A 26,029-nucleotide genomic window follows, 5' to 3' on the forward strand; every position below is an offset into this window, starting at 1 on the left:
GCACAGTTAAGAGATTAAAACAATAACCCAATGATAGAATTGTAGCAATATACTAATAAAAGTTATGCGAATATGGTCTCTCTCAAAATATCTTATTTACTGTACTCATCTATTTTTGGTCCATGGTTGACCAGGGGTAACTGAAACTGCAGAAAGTGAAACTGCCATAAGGAGGGAGGAGGGACTACTGTCATCAAAGGACTGGTGTATGCTCTTTAGCCAAGGCCTCCATGAACAGAACCAAGTAAAATAAAAAGGTTGATGGCTAGAACAAACCATAAACTCACTCTCTGTGTCCGGAGGGCAGTTGGTCAAGGTTTCTAGATTTGAGCTCAAAGCATATTTCCCTGGTTTGCAGTTTGAATGTTTCTGGTTATGGCAATGGGCATTTTGGTGAACTCCCTGAGTGGCCCATTCATCAGCAGGGATGAGTGTTGCCCAGTACCCGCCTGTAGGGCGTCAGAAACCAAGCAGTTTATAGATACAATGTCAAGGACAATGAACAGGACTAGAATCTGATATGCACAAGGGTGCCCTGTAGTTTTCTACTGAAACATAATTTTTCTCTCTACAGCTGCTCCCATTTCTATCAAAGATAATCACAATAAGACTAATTTGTTTGCAAAATAGGTCTAGTCTCATTAAACTTGGCTTGATAGTTCACATACGTGCAGCGAGAGTAGTGATGGACCATATAGGCTCTCTTTAAATCTGCTTTGCTGGAATTTTTAAAGGCATCTCAGATTAGACTTTTAAAAGCCTCTCTAGGCTATGAAGCCATGCTGAAGACTTACCAGTAGACTTTGCCCGTAATACCTATAGATTTGGATGAATTCCTCTCTTCTCAAGGTCCTCAAAATATTTTTAAAGTTACTGGGCCTGCCTTACTCAACTCTTAAGGCCAGGAAACCCTTAAAGCCTCGTACCACACTAGTTTTTTCCAAGGGGCTTTCATGGCTTCATAAAGTAAACCTTAGTTCTTTAAAACTGGCCATATCCAGCTCTATGTACATTTTCAAATATGACTTTCCGGTCAAAAGCCTTGGTATTATAACCAGTGTTTCCAGTTATAACTTGTTACAAAGAGAACAGATTTTTATTGAACTTATGCAAGTAACTTACTGCAAACCAAAAATAAAATTCGAAGGCCCCCTGCAACCATCTGAATGGACTTCCTCCTTGGCTAGGGCACCCTAACATTTAACCTGAAAGACTGCTTCAGGCCATGATGGGAAGTGGGGGTTGAACATGCCTCATTTATGTTGGGGTTGGACACGTCTCATTTATACCTCTCTAGTATTAATGTCAACACAGACCCTAGGTCTGATAGGAAACATATACAGTCTATTCTCTCTAAAGCTTGCTACTTGGAGGCTTCATCTGCATGATAAAAACCTAGGTCTCTGCAACCCCTTCCTTTCTATACATCATAACTCTTTCAACCAATTGCCAATCAGAATATGTTTAAACCTACCTATGACCTGGAAGCCCCTGCTTTGAGTTTTCCCCATCTTCCAGATCGAACCAGTGTAAATCTTACATGTTTCGATTGATGTATTATGTCTCCCTAAAATGTATAAAAGCAAGCTGTACCCCAAACACCATAGGCACATGTTGACAGGACCTCCTGAGGCTGTGTCATGGGTGGGTCCTTAACCTTGGCGAAATAAACTTTCAAAATTGATTGAGACTTGTCTCAGTTACTTTTTGGTCTACATTGTATTGCCATAAAAATAGAAATACTTGGTTACGGTTTCTGAATTCTGGAGGGATCAGATAGTTGAGAAAAGGTGTTTCATCTTCATTCACAAAGGTATAGTTTACCAAATTGTTGAAAGTTGTAGAGATAGCTTAAGAGAAAAGAAAAAAGTTTCCTTAAATCTGCAAAGCACAACATTGCAGAATCAGCAGTGTTTTAAACAAAAAGGCCATAAAAATAACCTATAATTTTTCTTCATCAGTCGTTCAGTCTCATGTAATTCCTGTTCTGCTTGATGTCAGTTTAACAATTTTATGAACCAGTTTCTTTAATAGTGTTGTGGAAACTCTTAGCCAGAGCAATGGTATAATCTTAAAGTTATAAGAAACCTGTACTTGTTCAGAGTCTCTTCCATGAATCTCCTTGAAGACGAAACACTTTAGGATTATAGTTGCTTGCAAAAGCTTTCAGGAAAGCATCAGAGTAAAAATTATCTCTGGATGACAGGACTTAAAATGGCTATGATAAGAATTTATTATGCAATCGACAAGGAAATTTTATTTTTTGTGACATCAGTATTTTAACATAAAAATCAAAATTATGACTGGTAACATCATAACAGGACATATCAGATTTGTAGGAATTTCATACCATTTCTAGAACACTCAGTAACATACCCAGGCAAATATAACTCAAGGAAAGTTAAACATCATTGCTTATTTGACAGTGCTTACCGTGTAAATTTAACATACTGAATAAGGTAGTTTAACATCTCTCTTTTTATGAGGAGAGAGAACAGATTCTTTTGAGATATTCTAGGAATCCCCTGGAAACTACCGAAGTTAGTTCAAGGTGAGAAAGACCTAATGGAGGCTGGGCATGGTGGCTCATACCTGTAATCCCAGCATTTTGGGAGGCCAAGGCAGGCAGATGTTTGCTGAGGCAGGAAGCAGCCTGACCAACATGGTGAAACCCTGTCTCTACTAAATTAAAAAATTAGCTGGACGTGGTGGTGCATGCCTGTGGTCCCGGTTACTCAGAAGGCTGAGGCAGGAAAATCGCTCGAACCTGGGAGATGGAGGTTGTAGTGAACCGAAATCGCACCATTGCATTCAAGCCTGGGCAACAGAGCCAGACTCCGTCTCAAAAAAAAAAAAAAAAAAAAAAAGACGGAATAATGGAATAGAATTTTGGGAAAGTTTGTCAAAAATATCAGAGGTTTAAAAATACTTGATTAAAGTAGATCACAGATCACTTGAAGTAATACCTACTGATTTAACCAGAGTGGTAATTTAGAGACAAATATAGAAAGTTACACAGTTGCTTAAAAAAAAAAAAAAGCACCTTAGCTCTTTTAATATGAAGAATTCGGTTTTCTTAAGCAAAGACCTAATAAAGCAAGAACAGACCAATACTTCAAGAAAAGTTTGTTACCACTGTACTTTTGATATTAAGGGTCATCATTTTTAAAGTAACTTTTAAATATAAAATTCATTCACGTCCTAGCCACCTTGACCATACATAAAATTCCTTTTTCACGGTTGCTTTTCTACATGTCTACAGTTTTCTCATATGCATTCATATGAATGCCCTATAGGGCACGGGTTTTGTCCTATACCTGTATAGGTTTTGCCTGTGTGGGTATAGGTTTTGCCCTATACCCGTCTTCCTTCCCATTGTGCACAACCAGTCATTCTTCTTTAGGATGGAAGTTACTTTTTCCCTTAACAAAAACACATCTTTTATACCTTAATAGCTTTTTTTTTAACCAAAAACATGTCTTACTTTCCTCCATACAGAGTTGTTTACCTTATTATTTCTAGTTTTAATTACCATATAGTAATTGGAATTTGTAAATTTAATTTTTAGAAGCATGTGCTTCTTCATGGTACAGTTTTTCAGTGGGACACAGGACATGATTACTAACAGACCTGAATATCTTTCGTTCTGAAATAAGCCAAAAGTGGATAACTTAAGTTGAGCACTTAATGTTTCAGTATTTTATCTATGTGGAAATGATCTAGATATTCAATGAATATCTGTCATTTAATTTAACTTAGCAAAACTCCAATAGTGTAAGTTAACAGATTTTGGAAACTGGTTTTAAGTAGATGTATTATAACATAAAACAAAGCTAGCCATTATCAAGTTATTTCCTTGTTAGCTATTTTTACAGCATGTGCATGTTAGGTAGTCATCGTGAAAGCAAGAATCTTAAGTTAAATACATGTTTTTTTTGTTTGTTTGTTTTACTGCTGTGCTGTATAATACATGATGCTGTTAGCAGCGGAACGTATCAGAGACACGGCACCAAAGTATGTTACTGTCGGCGAATTCATACGGCTCTGCAGCAACCTCAGTTCTTGCCTTCTCAGCAGAAAGAATTCGACTGAGAGGCATAAGGCAGAAGGAGAGATTGAGGCAAGTTTTAAAGCAGGAGTGAAAGCTTTAAAGCAGGAATGAAAGGAAGTAAAGTATACTTGGAAGAGGGCCAAGTGGGTGACTTGAGAGATTAAGTGTGCGGTTTGACCTTTTGACTTGGGGTTTTATATGGTGGCATGCTTCTGGGGTCTTGCATCCCTTTTCCCATGATTCTTCCCTTGGGGTGGGCTGTTTGTATGTGCAGTGGCCTGCTAGCACTTGGAAGGGGCCAGCCTATGCAGTGTGTTTACTGGAGTTGTATGCATGCTCTTTTGAGGTGTTTTTCCCTTACCACTCACATGTCCCTGGAAGGTCATATATCAGTTAAAATCCTCCATGTTGCTTCTTAATGCATATGCTGGAGCCCACTCGCCCGACTCCTGACATCTTATTGGAAAGCTGCTGATCACCAATTTCAGGTGTTTCTGTTTACTGGGAGACTGCGGATCCCTGGCTCTGGCTGCAACCAATTATTAGAGAGACAGTTAACAACTGCCTGGCCATCTCCTGATGGTCGCCTAACATAACTGGCTGTGTGTGTGTGTGTGTGTGTGTGTGTGTGTGTGTGTGTGTGTTGGGGGAGGGGGCCTCTCCTGCCCTGCTTATACCTGACTAGCTACCTACTGTAACAAGGCACTTGGAAACTGGACGTTGCACTTTCACTTGCACATTTGTTCTTAGGTTGAACCCATAGTTCTATAATCTTAAACATCTAGTAAAGATAACAAACTTATTTGACTAGTAAAAGCAGGTAAAATAAAATGTTATGCTCGTATTATACTTAAAGCTGGTAACTCAGAAGACACAGCTGTTTGTATTAAACCAACAATATTGAGCTAGTCTTATTTACCCAAGATTTACCCAAGTTATGTGAACTTTAAAAACATTTTGGGTTAGTTCCATTGTCTTTAAGAGTTTAAGTAATACAGTCTTCCTTCTGTCAAGGTTCCATGACCCCCTGTGGAAACCAAAATCTGAAGATGCTCAAGTTCCACAGTTGGCCTTGTACATACAAAAAGTTAGCCCACTGTATTCTTGTAACCATCCAGTGGGTTCATTTTGCCTGTTGCCCAGATAGAGCTGATTTATCAAGAGAGGGGAATTGCAATAGAGAAAGATTTTAATTCATGGAGAGCCAGCTGAATGGGAGACTGGAGTTTTATTACTTCTCGTATCCACCTCCCTGAAAATTTGGAGGCTAGGGTTTTTCAAGGATAGTTTGGTGGACAAGGGAATGGGTGCTGCTAATTGGTTGTGGATGCAATCATAGCGGTGTGGAAATGGTCCCTGTGTGCTGAGTCTGCTTCTAGGTAGGGGCTACAAGGACCTGTTGAGTCAAGGGTCGTGGGTCTGGATGGGGCTGTTGGTGGTCCGAAACATAAAAGCTTGAAAAGACGTATCAAAAGGCTAGTCTTAGGCTCTACAATACTGATGTAGGAGTAATTGGGGAGATTGTAAATCTTGTGATCGCCAGGATAATGTCTGGTAATTGATATCTATACCTTAGCAGAATTTGGGCTCCTCTCATCTTCCTAATTTTGTGGTCTTTCATTAGTTTTACATAGGCAGTTTAGTTTTGGGGAATGGTTAGTATTTAAACTATTATCTTAATTATACTTTAGATTATAATTTATAAATTATAATTTAGATTATAATTTATAAATTATAATTTAGATTATAATTTATAAAATTAAAATAAAATAATTATTAAATTATTATAATCTAAATTATTGAATTGTAATCTAAATTTCTCCCAAAGTTAGCTTGGCCCAAGCCCCAGGAATGACTAAGTAGACATTTTGGAGGTTGAAGGCAAGATGGGAGTTGGTTAGATCAGATCCCTTTCAATGTCATAATTTTCTTACTGTTATAGTTTTTGCAAAGGTGGTTTCATTCTTGGGTTCTGCAACCTGCAAATACTGTATTTTTGACCCATGGTTGGTTGAATCTGCAGATGCAGAACCTGTGGTTATGGTGGGCCAGCTATACTTAATTTACATAAGCACTTACTTTTCTTTAAGCCGATTAAATGGAGCTCTTTTATAAATTGTCTTTGGCAATACCATCCGGATGTCGAAAAATATCACAAAAATGTAACACATGTACGTAAATATATAGGCAGATATAAACATCATATAGCTCTCATTCTAAAATTTTAGTCGTGTGCCAGGTCTAAATACAAAACTCACTTGTTTATTAAAAAAAAAAATAGCTAGATTCAAGTTGTGTATCTGGCCAGATGGCTACGCTTCTTATTGATGTTTATGAAAAAGACTGAAGATTTTTTATTTGCCAATTTCCAAATAGTTGTACCCCTGTTTTCCTCTTCTGATGAGTCATCTTCCCTAAATTTGCATGTCTAAAGGGATTGCTCTTAGGTTAGACTAGGTAGAGCATTTATATCTCAAAGGCACAGAGCTAAGGCTTCAGGCTTCAATACTGTCATTTACTGAAACAAGGAAAGACGAGTGTAGGTAAAGCCCCAGTTACAACAAGATGGCCAGGAAAAGCTTCTTAAATGCTTGGGTAAAGCTAGTTATATAGGTTTAAGTCATTGCCTTCTCCATTCTAAGAATTCCTAGTGATTCAGTCCTTCTCTCTCTGGTGCAGAGAGAGAGACAAATGATTTCTTTTATAGATGTAAATTTCCCTTACAAAACAGTCTAAAAATAACTGGTTAAAAATAGTCCTTATGCCAGTAGGGCAGATTTTGGAGACTAATTTGGCTAGAAGGATCAAGAAGTCCTGGATCTTGTCCTCCAATGAGAATTCTGAATTCCTCAGCAAATTTCTGGGGGTTTTCCTTTGGGACAGAGAAAATTTTGCTTGATCTGAGCTCAAGATTTTGACCAAGGCATAAAGGTGGTTAAAGATACAGACCTGGTTGATGTGTGGGCCTAACTTTATAAAGCATTTGTCTAGCTTTTCATCTTTGGGTTGGGAAGATAACTGAGCTAAAAGCTTAGTAGATAAAGAATAGGCAGAGGATGGGGTGGGGTGGTGGGGTCAGAGTTAAGTCAGTCAACATGTAATTAAAAAAAAAATCAACTGCTTAAGCTTTTCATTTGCCTTTTGTAGGGAGTCTTTGAGAGGCAATTTTTGAGTCTTTTAGGAGCTTCTTCTGCACACCAAAAAAAACCCCAAACAGAACTCTTGTTTCTGAGGTATTTTGGATCCTGTTTTTCTAATGTGCCTTGCAAATGAAATTTTATCACTGTGGCCCCTGTAACTCTTGAGTTACCTTTGGTAAGGTTCACTCATTTCTCTAAAAAAATCACAGGTTCTGAGCCCTTAGTTCTTAAACATAAAATTGGCTGACGTTCCAGATGGTTGGAGTTCTAGAGTCCTTGTCTGCAGATGAACCCATGATTCACAGCCTTCTCAAACTTACCTAACTTACCTTATATAAGACTATATTGGGCCTCCTGCTAGACCCAATATAGTCTCTGTCATGACTTACAGGCCCAGTGTGGATCGGAAATGCTCATAGTCAAGAGAATTCAAAACAAGTAGTTAAGCTTGTACCTGAGAGGGACCTACCAATGGTGACCTCCAAATGCGCAGCAAAAAGTGATGAACTCAAGGGGCTCAGTGGGGGCACTTATGCCTGTTACTCATTGCTCCTGTGGGTTATCATTGGTGGGATCTCCTTCAGACCCTCATTTCTAACACTAGAACTATTAAAAGAAAAACTTTAGACAAAAGAAATTTAGCAGAGTTTATTTAAGCAAAGAATGATTTATGAATTGGGCAGCACTCAGAACCAGAAGAGGTTGAGAGAGTTCTGCTCTGAAGCATGTGGGCAGTGTACTTTTATAGCCTGAACACAGAAGTAAGATGAAGAAAATATATTTGGTTAGAGTGGCAAGATCCTAGCTAGAGGTTAGTTGATGGTTTCTGAGTGGTTGAGGTTAAGTTTCATTATCCTGTTTACATTGAATTGGGTTTTGATTTGCTTAACGTAGGAGCTCCATTTTACAGAGCTCAGGCTAATGGCTTCTATCTGATTTGTTTTAATAGTAGTCATATTTCCCATCTCAAGGTGTGGCTGAAGCACATGTTTATTGTCTGTAATAGCCAAGTAGAATGGTTGTGGGAAATTGTAGGTATCATTGTTTTAGCATTCACTCACACATATTCGTGTATATTCTCTCACTCCACTACAAGTAGAAGTTGTAGAAGTTAGAGTAGATGTTAAGTGAGAATCTGATATGACTACAGTATATGCTGAACATTCTGTCCATTGTGTTCATGGGGAAGCATGGTTTTTACTCTCAAGGTTCCATATATTATAATAAATAAAAATGTCTTTAGCCTACTTTACCACATAATGTAACTACTTAAATTGTTATTTTACCAAGTAGTTTTGTTTTTGACTTGATGACATACTTAAGTGTCTCTGTTTCCTGAATGACTTTTCATCTGTGTCTGTTTTCTTCCAGAGGTAAAACCAAACATATATATCAGTTTTAAGCACATTTCTCATAAAGTCAATGACGGGAACTTCTTTAAATTCAGTTTATATGTTTGTTCTGGTCATTCTTCCACCTCTATATGTTGTCTGTATGTATAATGCCCTTTTCCTTTTTTATCAGACCTCTGCTCTTTATTCCCATTCAGTGAATGGAGGGGAAACTACTACTATTTAAGTCTTACTCATTTTATTTCTCTGTGCGTTTGCTCTCTCCAGTTTTCTTATTTGCATACTGTTTTTATGCCACTCAAAACTAAAACTGGAGATAATCATTGAAGATGTTAAATACATATATTGTAATTTTGAATGTTACAAAGTAGAAGACCTATTGTATTTAATTGTATGTGAAATTTATATTTATTGCATTGCACATCTCCAAATGATGTGCACATTTGTGCACATCACAAATCCCTTTTGGATCTCCAAATTCTTGTTTAGCACTATTCCTTCAGAATTGACTTTGTTATAATAAAGTTTTACTTGTATCTTTTAGTGTAAATTTAGAGGAACTGTTATAGTCTCCAGTGTGTAACAGTTAATGTTTAAAATTTCTTCCTACAGTGAGCTGTCACCATGTTTAATAAATTATAGTATTCATTAGCATAAATTACTTTGGGTGCCAAGTTAGCTATTGCACAGATGCTTTGTATTATTTATAGATTTGTATCTAACCTTTACAAGTTGACTTGCTTTTGTTTTTCTGTTCACTTGTCACCATGCAGTAGGCAGTAGCATAATTATTTAAGTAATAAAAATTACAAAAATAATTTTCAGGAAGAGATCTGTTGAAACTTCTAAGAGTTAGGTTGCTCAAACTTTTCTACCTTGAGCAATATAGTAAGATAAAGCTCCCATATTTTAAGTAGACATATTGCGTTGTCTTTATTTGAATCTGATCCTTGTATATTAGTGCCTCGGTATCCGTGGGGGATTTATTCCAGAACCCCCACAGATACTAAAATCCACAGATGCTCAAGTCCCTCATATAAAATTGTGTAGAATTTGCATATAACCCATGCACATCTTCCTGTATAATTTAAATCATCTTTAGATTACTTATAATACCTAATATGATGTTAATGCTATGTAAGTGGTTGTTATACTGTATTGTTTTTAAAATTTGTATTATTTTGTATTGTTATATTGTTAGCATTTGTTTTGTTTTTTTCCTCCCACGTATCTTTGATCTGAAGTTGGTTGAGTTCTTGAATGCAGAACACACGGATACAGAGGGCTATCACCACTACCTTTCTTCCCAACATTGTGGTAAACTACAGGGGTGTCTTTAGCTGACAAATTAGATAGAGGCAGCACCTTAATTGTTTCCCTCTGGAGTTTTGAGCTGCCGGGACTTACTTTTGTCTTTGTGGGACGGGTGAAGCAGGCAATTCATTATTAACTTTATAGTTTATCTTAGAGTAAATTGTTGATATTTACTTAACATCTAAGAGTCTTCTCTTAGATTAAACTTTTTTTGAATGAGGACTTCAGTTTTAGTTACTGATCAGATTCAGGAAGAATAATTCTATCAAACATTCTTTTTTGAGTTGTGGATGCTCTATAAAGATATCGGAATTCATCTTTGGAAGGAACAGACTGTCATTAAAGTCTTAAATGTCTATTTTGGTATTTTCTGGATTTGCTAATGATCTAACTTTCTAATTTAGTAATATTTTATTTAGATAAATGAAACCATGCTTATGAAATCATTGACAGATGAATCACCTCCAACTCAATAGGTTAAGCATTTTAGAAAATTTATGAATATTTTCAGACACATATTTTAAAAATTTCTAGACACAAGATCTTATATTTTAGCTATTTTTCGATATGCTATGTTTCTGACAATTTTAGGAAAAATAAAATCTTATTTCTAATGTAAATTATATGAATTTCTAAAAATAAGGCTATATTAAACATCATTCTAAAACCAAAAAAAAATTGTTACATTACAATGAATCTTCTAGGTCTTTGCAAAAGAGAGGGAACTTTTCTTTTTCAGTTTTCAATTTATAAAGAGTTTAGATTGAATTATGAATAAAGCTGCTGTAAACATCCATGTGCAAGTTTTTTTTATGGACATAAAGTTGTCACCTCCTTTGAGTAAATACCAAAGAGCATGATTAATGGATCATGTGGGAAGATTATGTTTAGTTTTGTAAGAAGCCACCAAACTGTCTTCCAAAGTTGGCTGTACCATTTTGCATTCCTACCAGTAATGAATGAGAGTTCTGAGGCAGGAGAATAGCGTCTGGAGGCAGGGAACCTAAGGCTGATTGACGCTGACTTCCTAGAACTGAATCAAAAGGAAAACCCCAACTTTCCATGCCCAGGTAACAAGGGAACAGAGGGGTTGGGGGTGCAACCCCTGCACCCCCAACCCCTCTGCCACCTTCTGCATTGCAGATGAGAAATGGAAAGTACCTTTGATTGGTCCGCTCCTGCAACTGATCAGACTGGTCACCGGCCTAGTCTTCATTTGCATAAAGATGTAACTTTGTGACTTAAGCCTCTGATTGGTCACTTTCCACCATCAATCAGACTGGTTGTGACCCACTACTTCATTTACATAGGGTGTAACCAGGTAACCAGTGGGAAACCTTTAGTGGGTATTTACACCCCAGAAAATTCTGTAACCAGTGCTCTTGAGCCACTTGCTCGAGCCTGCTCCCATTCTGTTGAGTGTACTTCTGGTTCAATAAATCTGTGCTTTCGTTGCTTCATTCTTTTGTTGCTTTGTGTGTTTTGTCCAATTCTTTGTTCAAAACACCAAGAACCAGGATGACTCATAGTCAAGACCTTCCACCAGTAATAGTTCTACATCCTCACTGCATTCGTGATGTCAGTGTTCTGGTTTTTAGCCATTCTGATAGGTATGTAATGGTATCTCATTATTTTAATTTGCATTTCCCTGATAACGTATGATGTGGATCATCTTTTCTGTATACTTTCTTTGGTGAGATGTCTGTTAAGTTCTTTGGCCCATTTTTTAATAGGATTTGTTTTCTTGAATTTTTTTCATCTATTTTGAATAGCAGTACTTTATCAGATATGTCTTGCAAATATTTCCTGACAGTCTATGGCTTCTCTTTTTATTCTCTTAACAGTGTCTTTTATGGAGCAGAAATTTTTTAATGTGAATGTCAGCTTATCACTTCTTTCATGGATTATGTGTTTGCTGTTGTATCTAAAAAGTCATTGCCAAACCCTGGGTCATCTAGATTCTCTTTTATCTTCTAGGAGTTTTATAGTTTTGTGTTTGATATGTAGGTGTGTGATCCATTTTGACTTAAGTTTTGGGACGGGTATAAAATCTGTGCCTAGATTAATTTTTTTGCATGTGAGTATCCAGGTGTTTCAGAATTATTTGTTGAAAAAACTATCTTTGCTCCATTATATTGCCTTTGTTCCTTTATCAAAGATCAGTTGACTGTATTTATATGGGTCTATTTCTGGGCTCTCTGTTCTGTTTCACTGATCTTTTTGTCTGTTCTTTTACCAATACCACACTGTCTAGATTATTGTAACTTTAGATAAGTCTTGAAGTCAGACACTGTCAGTCTCCCACCTTTGTTCTTCAATATTGTGTTGGTTATTCTGGGTCTATTGCCTTTCCATATAAATAAACCTTAGAATCAGTTTAACAGTATCCCGAAAATAATCTGCTGGGATTTTGATTGGTATTGCATTGAATCTATAGATCAAGTTGAGAAGAACTGACATCTAGAAAATATTGAGCTTTCTTATCCATGGACATGAACTATCTTTCAGTTTAATTAGTTCTTTTTGATATCTTTGATCAGAGTTTTGTAGTTTTGCTCATGTAGATTTTGTACATGTTTTGTTAGATTTACCTATTTCATTTTGGGAGGATGCTAATGTAAATGGTATTGTGTTTTAAATTTTAAATTCCACTTGTTCCTTACTGGCATATAGCAAAGTAGTTGACTTTTGTCTATTAACCTTGCATCTTGCAACCTTGCTTATTAGTTCCAGGAGTTTTTTTTGATCAGTTCTTTTGGATTTTCTACATATATTGTCATATTATCTGTGAACAAAGTTTTATTTCTTCTTTCAACCTCTGTACTTTTTCTTTCTCTTCTTATTGCATTAGCTAGGACTTGCAGTATGATGTTGCAGTGCAGTGGTGAGAGAAGACAAGACATCCTTGCTTCATTGTTCATCTTAATGGGAATGCTTTGAGTTTCTCACCATTAAGCATGTGTAAACTGTAGGTGTTTCTATTTTTGTTTTGTATTCTTTATTAAGTTGAGGAAATTCCCTTGTATTCCTAGTTTATTTTACTGAGAGTTTTTTTTGATGCGTGGGTATTGAACTTTTTTTTTTTTTTTTTGAGATGGAATTTTGTTCTTGTTGCCCAGGCTGGAGTGCAATGGTGCAATCTCGGCTCACTGCAACTTTTTCCTTCCAGGTTCAAGCAATTCTCCTGCTTCGAGTAGTTGGGATTACAAGCTACCCAACCTGCTAATTTTGCCACCACACCTGGCTAATTTTGTATTTTTAGTAGAGATGGGATTTCACCATGTTGGCCAGACTGGTCTTGAACTCCTGACATCAGGTGATCCACCTGCCTCAGCCTCCCAAAGTGCTGGGATTACAGGCGTGAACCACTGCGCCTGGCCTGGGTATTGACCTTTTGTCAGATGCTTTTTCTGCATTTGTTGATAAGATCATGTGATTTTTTTTTTCTTTAGCCTGTTGATATGGACTACATTAATTTATTTTCAGATTGCACACCTGCAATAAATCCCACTTGGTTGTAATATACTGTTCTTGTTATACTATGTTGGATGGAATTTGCTATTTGCTGAAGACTTTTGCATCTGTATTCATGAGAGATATTGGTCTGAAGTTTTCGTGTAATGTCTTTGTCTAGTTTTGGTATTAGGGTAATGCTGAACTCATATCTACTTCTCTCTCCTGAAAGATATTGTAGAGAATTGGTATAAGTTTTTCTTTAAATCTTTGGAAGAATTCTCCATCTGGGCCTGGTGCTTTATATTTTGGAAGGTTATTACTTACTGATTCCGTTTCTTTAATAGGTATAGTCCTATTCAGGTTGTGTCTTCTGTGAGTTTTGACAGATTGTGTCTTTCGAGGAATTGGTCTGTTTCATCAAGGTTGTCAAATTTGTGGGCATAGAGTTGTTCACAGTATTCTTTTGTTATCCTTTTAATATCCATGGGATCCATAGTAATGTCCCCTTTTATTTCTGATATTAGTAATTTGTTTCCTCTCTTTCTTAGCTAGCCCACCTAAACGCTTGTTAATTTCATTAATATTTTCAAGGAACCAGCTTCTGGTTTCATTGATTTTTCTCTATAGATTTCCTGTTTTTTAATTTCATTGATTTCTGCTCTAATTCTTACTCTTTCTTATGCTTACTTTGGATTTAATTTATTCTCTTCCTAATTTTCCAAGGTGGAAGCTTATAAATGATATTAGGTCTTTCTTTTCTAATTTATGCATTCATTAAGTCATTTATGCCTTAAGTTGCAATTTTTTGAATTTCTGCAATCAGGCCTTGGCAATGATCTTGTGCAGTAGGGTATGAATAACTCCCACATGCTTAGCGTTCCAATAATGGAACACTAGACATTAATAAATTTCCCTCAAAAGCACTGCTTTTGCCACGTCCCACAAATTTTGGTACATTTTGTTTTCATTTAGTTCAAAATATTTTAAAGTGTCTCAAGATTTCTTTGTAAGTCCATATGTTATTTAGAAGTGTTGTTTAATCCCCAAGTATTTTGGGATTTTTGCATTTATCTTTCTGTTGATTTCTTAATTCAGTTGCAGCCTGAGAGCAGACATTATATGACTTCTATTTTAAATTTGTTATGGCATGTTTTATGGCCCAGAATGTGGTCTGTCTTGGTGAACATTCCATGTAAGCTTGTGAAGACTGTGTATTCTGTTGTTGTTTGATGAAGTAGTCTTTTGTTCATTATATCCAGTTAATTAATGATTTGTTGAGTTCAACTATGCTTACTGACTTTCTGCCTGCTGGATCTGACCATTTCTGGTACAGCAGTGTTGAAGTCTCTATATTAGTGGATTCTTCCTTTTTTTCCTTTTATTTCTATCAGTTTTTGCCTCACATATTTTGATACTTTGTTGTTAGGTACATAAACATTAGATATTGTTATGTCTTCTTAGAGAATTGACCCCTTTGTCATTATGTAATGCTCCTCTTTGTCACTGATAACTTTTCTTGCTTTCAATTTTGCAGTATCTGAAATTAATACAGCTACTCTTACTTTGTTTTATTAGTGTTAGCATGGTATAACTTCCTCCATGTTTTTACTTTTAATCTATATGTGTCTTTACATTTGAGGTGGATTTCTTACAGACAACTTATACTTGGGTCTTGTTTTGTTATCCACACTGATGTTTTAATTGGTGCATTTAAACTGTTGATGTTCAAAGTCAGACTTAATGTCATCAATAGCTTCTAAGAAACTCACTTTTTTTTTTCATTTTTTTTTTTTTAAGTTCAGGGGTACTTGTGCAGGATGCACAGTTTTGTTACACAGATAAACGTGTGCCATGGTGATTTGCTGCGCTGATCATTCTGTCACCCAGGTATTAAGGCCAGCATCCATTAGCTGTTTTTCCTGATGCTCTCCCTCACCCCACCCAACCCTCTGACAGGTCCCAGTGTGGGTTTTTCCCCTCCATGTGCCTGTGTGTTCTCATCATTCAGCTCCCACTTATAAGTGAGAACATAGAGTATTTGGTTTTCTGTTCTCGTGTTAGTTTGCTGAGGATAATGGCCTCCAGCCCCATCCACGTCCCTGCAAAGGACATGATCTAGTTCCTTTTTATGGCTGATAGTGTTGCATGGTGTATATGTACCACATTTTCTTTATCCAGTCTATCACTGATGGGCATTTAGGTTGATTCCATGTCTTTGCTATTGCGAATAGTGCTGCAGTGAATATATGTGTGCATATATCTTTATAATAGAATGATTTATATTCCTTTGGGTATATTCAGTAATTGATTGGTGGGTCAAATGGTTGAACTAACTTACACTCCCACCAATAGTGTAAAAGCATTCCTTTTTCTCCACACCTCGCCAGAATATACTTCATAAGGACTTGTTGAAAAACCTGTGGTTAGAAGTCTTTCTTACAGCTTTTGTTACAGATATCTCAAACTGAGGGTACAATTATAATGTGGAATTAGTGCTTGAGTAAATATAAGTAATTTCAGTTATAGTCTCTGTATTAGTCCATCCTCACACTGCTATAAAGAAATACCCAAGACTGGGTAATTTATAAAGGAAAGAGGTTTAATTGACTCACAGTTCTGCAAGGCTAGGAAGGCCTCAGGAAATTTGCAATCATGGCAGAAGGAGAAGCAGAAGCAAGTACCTTTTTCACAAGGTGAGGCGGCCGGAGAGAGAGAATGCAAATGGGGAAGAGCCACTTATAAAACCATCAGATCTCATGAGAACTCACTATCATGAGAACAGCATGGGGGAAACTGCCTCCATGATCCAATCACCTCCCACCAGGTCCCTCCCTCAACACATGGGGATTACAATTTGAGATTAGATTTAGGTGGGGACACAGAGCCTAACCATATCAGTCTGATAACAGTTTTCTGCCCCCCTCAAGAATCTCCATTTTTATGGTGAGCAAGTGTGAGACTTTCAGATGATTACAAGGTTGAAAGAGACCATAATTTTTTTTTATCATATATAAAGAATAAGAACCAGCTAAGTAATAAGGATAATGGAAAACTTGATTCTGAGTTTTGACCTTTTACTTCCTTAGACACATTGTTTTCAGTTTTCTTTATAGTCTTAGTGCTTTGATAGCCATGTTTAAAGTTTTTATTTTTTACAAAATCAGTATGTACTTTCTGTTATTTTTAAAGAATAGTTTATTTGAAAACAGCATGGGATTTTTGCCTCTCAAACAAGGACAGGTGAAAATTGGGAGTTCTGTAGGAGAGCAGAAGTGGAGAGGCTTTTGTGTTCTTGCCCTTTCCCTTCTCTTTAACTGATTATCCCCATCTAGGTTTGTATCTCGAAATTCAGATCAATAGGTGGGATTACAATTGAAAGGTTATTAATGAATACAAGGGTGGTGGTACAAGAGTTTACCTTAGGCAAGTTGTATGGAAGACAGTAATAGATAATTTTGTCCATAAAACTTTTCCTATTTTGATTATGTAATCTCAATATTCATAATTTGTTAAGTATACATCAAGGGAACTGTTCCTGTCATCTAGAATGACCATCTATTTAATAAAGCCATGAAACAATTAGAGAACTTTCAGAAAACAAATGGGCATAATGCTATGTTGCAAAAACATGTCCTGCCTTGTTCACCCTGTCCATTTTTAGATTGGTCTGGATGATAGTGAAATGCAGAAGTGTTTGCCACACAGGTGCAGTGTTTTGCAGCTGTTGGAAACATTCCCCCTCACCCACAACCCCTTTGCTTTCTTCACATAAAATTATGCTGTGCTTAGACCATTAATACTAGAAGATGGGATTTGAGAATTTGAATGTCTGTTTACATAAAGATGTAATACAGAGAAATAACTGCTCATTCAGGCATCTGAATGTAACTGCCTAGATGAATTTATTAAAACTGTCCTTAAGGTCACACTAGCCTTAAGGTCATGGAGTTTTAGATACAAGAGACTGCCTTTAAAACTCCTGTCTGTAGAATTGCTGCCCTCCAGGACTGAACTGTCTTTGAGGACAGGGCTTATATATATTTATTTTTAAATCTCTTGTAACTAACATAACACCTGGACAAGTAGGCACTTTATATGTTTGCGAATATTTTATGTTGGAAGATGAAGCCAAATGAAAATATCTTTTAGTATGGTACTAAATCAGAAATTATAATTTTTTTAAACTGATGCCATGTGGTACACTCTATAGTAGTCATGAACAGAGTGCCATGGCCTGAGAGAGAAGGGGAGAGTGAATAATCATGTCCATGGAAATCACGGGATACTTTATATTTTTATGTATCACGGAAAATACTTCCCTAGACTACAATTGGAGAATTTGTTTTGAAGAGAATTTTTTTCCTCATCTAAGAGAAAATAATGTATTTTCCAACAGCAGTGTTTTCCCTCCATATCCCCATTTTTGTCATTTTTGATGCATTATATAATAACCAAATTAATGATTCAAAATTGGAAAGTTTTAGAGCATGCTTTCTTTATATAAAACCAATATTTTATTTTCTGTAGTTATTTCTATGATGAGAGTTATGTATGCTTTGGAGTCAGACATAAATAGGTTTGAATCTCATATTTTTTAATCCCAACTTACTAAATTGTTTACCTCAAGGAAGCAACTTAACCTCAACATGTCTCAATATTTCTGTCTGCAAAAATAGGGCTAATACCACTCTAAACGGTAGTGTTATGAGGATGAAATGAGGTACCTCTTGAGTACATGGCAGCAGCATTATTCCTGGCGCGTATTAGGAACTCAGTAAACATAATTTCCTTTTTATTCAACGGAGAGGGTTGTAGTAATCAAGACTATAGTACTTTTTCTGGCATTGATGAAGCTGCTATTCTAGGAGACCATAGTATGCCCTCAAGTTTCTATTTGTTCAGCATGTGCATAGTACACAGTATCTGCAAAGGCATTGAGATATGTGGCGATATTGCAGTCTTGTTGGGGGTGGGGGTGAGGAGTAGAACACCAAATATTGAAATCATGATAAAAGGTAGTACATTACTGAGATTCTGAGAAGGGGGATTCTGAGAAGGAGGTCACGATAAACTGCAGTGATTAGGCATCCTTCATGGTGGTAGCATAGCTGCGAACTGAACCTTCAAGGCAAATTGGAGAAGAAAAACATTCAGGCCTAAAGAAGACCAGAAAGAGCAAGTGCTCAGTCTTCTGAGAGAATATTTTTGTGTGCTGTAATTGACAGTGGTTCCATGTATACAGAACAAAAAATTGTCATATTAGACTGAAGCTGGCTGTGTTGATCCAAAGAAAGCGTAGGAAAGCATCCTGAATATACTATTGCCTGTTTTCCTGACTCATAAATAGCATATCCTTTATTCTCCAAATGCTTAGGACTCTTAAACTAGCAAAGCATATACTTTGAAGTTTATAAACGTATAGATGTGTTTGCAAGTTTTTCCTTTTTATCTGAGAATTCATAACATGATAAACTTTATTTCTGTGTAAGAGAATGGAAAACAGTTTACATTTGAGAAAAGATCAGTAAAACTAGTAACATTTTTGGAATTGGTGGGGGTAGAGGAAGGGAGGGATTTGGAGGAGAAGCATTGTGTGTCTTATAAGAAATTATCACAAGATAATTTGTTCCTTGCAACAAGGTGTGATTAGGAACCATTGGAAAATTTTGAGGATTCTAATGAAACATTTAAGGAATTTGATTTTTACAGTTAGTAGAATAGTTTAAAGGGAAAAGAAGTCAAAATATTAAGGACCTTTACAAAGAAAAGCTTGGTATATTTGAGGCTTGAAATAATCTGAACTAAAGTATTGAAGAAGAAATGTCCAAAAAAGCAATAGTGAGAGGCTGTTGGGAGTGTAGGGTTAAAGGAGGACAACAGATCAAAAATGGCTGCAAGGCTCTGCCTTTAGGGGATGGAAGAGTAAATTTTGAAGTACCGTCTTGGTATTATCATTGCTCTAGGATAAGGGATAAGAGCTGTAATTCACTCTCAGGTCCCTCCCTAGTTTTCTAGTGACTGAATAAAGAATGAAGTGGCAAATTTTTGCTGTGGGATGCTTTTGAAACAAGGTTTCTTCTCTTCGGTTACCTAATTGGGAGAGGGTGTTATATATTTTCACTAGGGGTAACAGTATATGTTGTTTCCATTAAAGACTAGGTAATTTGGATGTGATAGAAGATATTGGTGTGTTTTTAGAAATACTGAAATGATTTGGGGAAAGAAAAAATGTATAAAGATACTTTGAAAACTTTGAGGGCTTTTAATTTGTTAGAGTTGCTGTTTTTGGTTGGTGTTTTCTTGTAAAAACTTAACCCCAAGGATATGTTTTACTTCTGCTGTTGTTAATAGGTCTCTGTTCATTTAATAGGTGGCAATTATCATGAGCATTTGGGGAAAAAAATTTTAACGAAGTTTTGTTGGGCAGAAAGTATACTCTTGGCTTTTTTAGGTATGTTATACTCCAGGTATTTTAGACTACAAGGCAAGAGGCAGAAATCTAGAAGGATACTAGGGGTAGAGCAATATTTTCAGCAAAATTGTTTTCCCCCTCTTCAGCTTTCTCTGTTACCCTATCCCTCTCCCTTTTTAGTAGCTCAGAACATACCCTCCTCCAGCATCCTGCAAAATTGAACACTTTTGCTTCAGTGTTAACACACAAAGTGAAATAAAGAAGAGTGCCGAGATAGCACAACAAGCATTTTTCAAGCACTAACTATATATCTAGTACTATGCTTGGTTCTGGGCATGCACATGTGTATAACACACGCTCCCTGTCTTGAGAAGCCCACAGTAGAGCAGTGTGGTGAACATTGATAATTTACAGTTATGCTTTTATGGAGCTACTCACAGAGCTGATTTTCCATTTGATAGTCTTGACAAAAAGTAATTTTGTGTATAATCAAAAAAGCAATACTAGCATAGCTTTTTTTCATAGACATTAAAACTTGTTTTTGGAACTGCACACTTATATTTTTAAGAATTGTTCTTATAAAGAGCAAATAAAACACCTTTTACACTTTGTATTGTTTGGCTAATTTATTGTCATTTGTTTGGCCAAATGACAAGGCATTTTTTTGGTAGTACGTTGAGCTAAATATAGCTGTTCAATGTTTATATTGAAAAATTAATATTATTAAAAAGGGTATCTTTTTAGTCCATGTGTTCTGATCCTTAACATTTTATTTAATCTTGAAGCTATATTATTTCTTCTCCCTATTCCCCTTTTGAGTACTTTTGATTTTCTGTAATATCTTTCAAAACATTTTCTTTCCCAACATTAAAACCCTTTTGATGTATAGAGAAATGTCGTTTAAAAATCCATTAGCAAAATCCCTTATGATGATAACAGGATACATTTTTTTTTCCTTGCTCTTTTATTGTACCTTGTTAAGCTGGTCTCACATGAACTTTCTTAGAATCAGGCAGTTCCTGGTTCCTATGGGACTTCCTGTTTTCTCAAATAAAAATAGAAAAGCATCTCAGAAAGGAAACCTGGTCAGTGTGAACTACTTTGTAAGATCAGTTAGTCTTAGTTAGTCTTAGTTGTGGCCTGGATTATATAGATATATAGTCTATATAAAATATAAAAGTTTACAGGTATCTGAAAGCTTTGAATATTTTCGTATGTAATATCAAAATAAACAAAATGATAAGGAGAAGACTCTGAATAAAAACCCTGAGAGGTGCTACATATTCAGCCGTAAACATTTTTGTATCTTAATTTAGAGGTGAATGAAGGAGGGGCATAGGGGTTGGATGGAAAGTGGTAAATCCTTTCCTTATTATGTAATATTTTATTGTAAATTTGGAATTGCTTAATACTGAGACTTAATTCTTAGTTACTTTGATCTGTATTTTTTTTTCTTGCCACTTTTTCAGATGTTGGCAAGGATTAGGAAGGTGGATTTTTAAAAAATCATTAGAAGTCAGAATTCTAAATGAATTATTCAGTTTTAAAGCATCTTGTAGATTTCTTTCAGTAGTTAACTGCTTCTTAGTCTATATTATGAAGAGAAATCAAATTAAGGTAGAAACAAATGATATAGTCATTAGCAGTAATAATAATGGATAGTGTGTATTGAGTACATATTAAGTGCTTGACACTGTGTCAAACATTTTATCTTGTTTATCTCATTTAATCCTGACAACAACTGTATAAGGTAGGTATCATTGTTATCCATACTCCTTTAAAGAAGAAACTACAATTTAGAGTAGCTAATTAGATGTTAGTTCAAAGAGACATTACTAATAAGTGGTAGAGGTGGAGCTGGGACTTGAACTCAGCTTCTGTGATACCAGAGCACCTGATCTCAATGATTGTGAGGAAAACCACTAATTCAAAGTGAGAATGATAAGTATAAGTCTGAAAAATTACTTCCCTAACCTTTATTATCACCAGTTTGTTTACATTTGGTTCACATATTTATATCCAGTTTTAGCAAAGTACATGCTGGCATTTCAGAGAGTTTGTTTGGGGGATTTTAATTCGTAAGTGATGCTAATACTTGTCTTTTTTTCCTTCCTTGATAGTAGAAAACCCCTTTGGTGAAACATTTGGAAAAATACAAGTAAGTAAACGATCATAATACTGATAATTTTGTGTCATGTTTTATATGATAAAAGCATGAGAATGACTATCAACTAAAAAAAAGTAATTTTAAAGTTATTTTAGTCTTAAACAATAGGTTTTATCAACTTAAAAAAATAGTAATTTTAAGGTTATTTTAGTCTAAAACAATAGGCTTTCTTATTCTGAGTATTCCCTAACTGTCGTATAATTAAATCTGACACAGATTTTCTCTTAAGAGCTGAACTGTTTATCACTTTACTGTAAAAGACTACTGCCAAGTAAAATGGGAGTGGCATATCATCAGTGGATCTTGTCTTACACTTAGAAGTATGCCTGTTGCCTGTAGTTGTTGGATACCTTAGCAGTTTTTGTCCGTTTTGCCCTCATTTTACCTCTTTGGATCTTCTGCATATTGGCATGCCTATTCGACCATCAAAAGGACTTAGAAAGGAAGCATATCCTTCAGGCTATTTCTTTAATTTTTTAAAGAGTGCTATAATACTAATTTTAACCTAAATTTTACTTATATAAAAATATTTTTCACTTACCCATCATTACAGGGACTTCAGAGATTAAGATGTTTAAGCTTGTAATTAGTTATTAATTTTTTATTATAGGAACTGTTATATAGACCTGTATAGAAAACATTATTTGTTGTACTGAAGGATGTGTAATAATGTGTAATCACATCCATAGAATATTACTTTCTGTTGTTAAAGTGGAACTCTGAAATGATTAGTAATATTCTATTGCAGTGATAATTGTTTAAAACAAAGTTGGCTTTTTCAGTTGCCTTAAGTATAACACTGCTACAGTGTCATAATTTAAATTTGGTACAGTATACTTACTGAACATTAGAAATAGAAGACTATTTTCTTCTGTTTAATTTTCCCCAAGGAAGAAACTGAAATTCTGAACTTCTGAATAATAGTAACAATTATAATGAAGATAGTGGCTGTTTACTTATATTAAATGCTCATTCTGTACAGGGCCCCTTGCCAAGTTGTATTAGTCTGTTCTCATGCTGCTAATAAAGACATACCGAGACTGGGTAATTTATAAAGGAAAGAGGTTTAATTGACTCACAGTTCGGCTGGGGAGGCCTCACAGTCGTGGCGGAAGGTGAAAGTCATGTCTTACCTGGTGGCAGGCAACAGAATATATGCAGGGCAACTCCACTTTATAAAACCATCAGATCTCACGAGACTTATTCACTATTCATCACGAGAATAGCATGGGGAAAAAAACCCACCCCATGCATGATTCAATTACCTCCCACCACTGCCTCCCACAACACGTGGGGATTATTACAATTCAAGGTAAGATTTGGGTGGGGACACAGAGCCAAACCATATCACAAGTGTTAAAATTCATTATTATTTAATCAAAGGCATAAGGCAAACAGTTTAAAATATCCTTGAAGAGTCCGGGCGTGGTGGCAGGCGCCTGTAGTCCCAGCTACTCGGGAGGCTGAGGCAGGAGAATGGCCTGAACCCGGGAGGCGGAGCTTGCAGTGAGCCAAGATTGTGCCACTGTACTCCAGCCTGGGCTACAGAGTGAGACTCCATCTCAAAAAAAAAAAAAAAAAAAATTCCTTGAAGAGAAAATTGGCTGAGGATTGAGGAGGGAAATATTTAATGGTGACAATATATGAGAAAATTGGATAGAGTCACCCTATAGATTTTTCTCCCTCCAAAATGAAAAACAATAGTCTGGGCCTTACTAAAACACAATTAGAAAGTAGCTAATTCAAATTACAAAATTGCCTTTATTTAATGAAAGATTATTTGAAAGCTTATTTTATGTATTTACTTGTGGAACTTTAACTAGTTTGCAGAATTATTAGGGAAGCCAGTAGTTAGACATTTAAGCTGAAATATTAGGAGACAATCTGAAAAGCAGTCAAAATGGAAGAAGAGTGTAATCAAACTGTAAACCAGTAAGTAAGTTTAAAAGTTGATTTGTATACTTTTCAGATTTACTGCTAGTTTAGTGTACTTGTACTAAAGATAACTGAACCAAAACCTTTGTTTCTTTCTCAAAATGTGTTCATTCACTTAATAGCATGTATCATCATGCCACTGCACTCTGCCACAGCCTGAGTGACAGAGCAAGACTGTAAAGATAGATAGATAGATAGATAGATAGATAAAGTAAATAGTATATCTCATAAACACCTACTTAGATTATAATTTAGTTGGTCATTTGGATAGCAGTTGAGGCCCTTCTAGTATATAGACGGTCATTTAAACTGTTTGTTTGTTTGTTTGTTTTTTTGAGACAAGGTCTCATTTTTATCACCCAGGCTGGAGTGCAGTGGCATGATCACGACTCACTGCAGCCTCAACCTCCTGGGCTCAAGTTATCCTCCCACCTCAGTCTCCTGAGGAGCTGGGACTACAGGTGCATACCACCACACCCAGCTAAATTTTGTATTTTTTTGTAGAGATGGGGTTTTGCCACATTGCCCAGGCTGGTCTCAAATTCCTGAGCTCAAGCAATTCTCCTGGCTCAGCCTCCCAAACTTGGGATTTCAGGTGTGAGCCACCGCACCCGGCCTTAAATAAATTTTCATTGGAAAGATAATTCTTGTAAAAAACTATAGTTGAGCTTTCTGAGTTCTTAAGTTATTTGTATGAGAATGTAACAGTATGTATGTCATCCAGTATGAGATCAGTTCCATCTGGTTAAGTGTTGTTACTTCTATTTATCTAGTCCAATGTTTAGTATCTGTGAATCAAAAGCTAAAGTTTATTCGCAGGTCCCTCTTATGTTTATTAAAGATGTAATCAGAGGACAGATGCCAATGTTCAAATTTTGTTTTGTTTTTGAAAGGGGAGTGAGGAAGGGTATGATAGTACATATAAAACAAAAAGAAAATAAGTCTCTTTTCCAGATGAGAGGAAAAGAAACACAAAACTTTCCATTGCTTTAATCCCAAAACTTAACTAGATTCACCTTGGTTTTTATGTGTCACATCCATAAGCTACACTGTCATTGGAACACCTACTCATCCTATTATGTTGAAGATATTTATTAAAAATGATTTTGTGGTTTAATGTATCACAAATGCTTAGGTTTCAGAATCCTGTTTCAGCCCTGCTCTTACTTTTTTTTTGAGATGGATTCTCGCTCTGTCACCAGGCTGGAGTACAGTGGCATGACCTCCGCTCACTGCAACCTCCACCTCCTGGGTTCAAGTGATTCTCCTGCCTCAGCCTCCCAAGTAGCTGGGACTACAGGTGCATGCCACCACGCTCAGCTCATGTTCCACCCTCCTCGGCCTCCCAAAGTGCTGAGATTACAGGCATGAGCCACCACACCCAGCCTACTGTTACTTTTTGATGTCTAATTTTGCAGTTTGAATTTTTGATCTTATGTGAAGATAAGGACTGGCTTGATTCAGAATCTGATTAAGATAAAATTGAGGCAAAAATATATATATATACGTAGGAAGGCAAGTAGTAAACTGAATGAATAAGTAACTTATCTCAGTCAACCGTCTGACATAAAACCAGGTATTCTGGTGGTAGGATCTTGGCACTTTTGATGAGTTTTCCTCTTAGTATAACCGATTAAAGCTGCAATGACAAAAGCATGCCACCCATAGTGTGCAAACATGTTCTCTTCTGTCCCTGCACATACACCACAAAATAAATGGATGAGGTTGCATGTTATTAGACATATAAATGTTACTTTTCCAGTCTTTTATATCTTGCTTCAATTTGCTCCATGATCTGTTCATCCAGTAAATCTGTTTTGTTGGAAACTTCAGGAAGAAAGAAAGTAATAAAGACAGAGCCCCCTGATAAATCATGGACTTATTTTAGGTAGTGCAATAAGCTATTACCCCCTCCCCACCCTACCCTCCATCATTTATGTCGATCCCTCCTGATCGTAATTGCTCTTAAATTGGAGGTCTTGTTGCTTTAGACTACTTGGCAGGTACTTAGGCTGTACCATTGCAATAATTCTCTATCTGGACTCTTTTCATACAATTATTTCTGCTTCCGAGCCAGCCTATACATTGTACATTCTGGCCCGGGTAGTATTCCTGATGCACAAGTCTGTTTTACTCTCCTGCTAAATTTTCAGAATGAAGTCAAACTCTCTGTCTTGCTATCCAAGGCTGTCTGGTAGTTAA

At 36.2% G+C, this 26,029-nt stretch overlaps 1 protein-coding gene across 2 annotated transcripts in view, besides 3 other annotated features; it reads left to right on the forward strand.

Annotated features, from left to right (window-relative positions):
- Window positions 1-26,029, forward strand: part of LEMD3 (LEM domain containing 3) — a 78,773-nt gene that overhangs the window by 19,498 nt on the left and 33,246 nt on the right. The window contains exon 2 of one of the 2 annotated variants that reach the window (NM_014319.5): window positions 21,846-21,883. In NM_014319.5, coding sequence (NP_055134.2) covers window positions 21,846-21,883 — 38 coding nt within the window. The remainder of the gene's footprint in view (window positions 1-21,845; window positions 21,884-26,029) is intronic. The other variant, NM_001167614.2, reaches the window with a different exon arrangement.
- Window positions 11,229-11,523: a silencer, noted in NCBI's record as "tiled region #14888; HepG2 Repressive non-DNase unmatched - State 16:ElonW". NCBI's record gives its function as "represses a minimal TATA promoter and a strong SV40 promoter by Sharpr-MPRA in HepG2 cells {active_cell/tissue: HepG2}" and the evidence as "EXISTENCE:reporter gene assay evidence [ECO:0000049][PMID:27701403]".
- Window positions 11,276-11,476: a silencer, noted in NCBI's record as "peak1763 fragment used in MPRA reporter construct". NCBI's record gives its function as "represses an SCP1 promoter by STARR-seq MPRAs in K562 erythroleukemia cells {active_cell/tissue: K562}" and the evidence as "EXISTENCE:reporter gene assay evidence [ECO:0000049][PMID:32103011]".
- Window positions 17,044-17,103: a silencer, noted in NCBI's record as "silent region_4631". NCBI's record gives its function as "represses an Ori minimal core promoter by ATAC-STARR-seq in GM12878 lymphoblastoid cells {active_cell/tissue: GM12878}" and the evidence as "EXISTENCE:reporter gene assay evidence [ECO:0000049][PMID:35858748]".

This window comes from Homo sapiens, chromosome 12, assembly GCF_000001405.40.
Source record: "Homo sapiens chromosome 12, GRCh38.p14 Primary Assembly".
Taxonomy (NCBI): domain Eukaryota; kingdom Metazoa; phylum Chordata; class Mammalia; order Primates; family Hominidae; genus Homo; species Homo sapiens.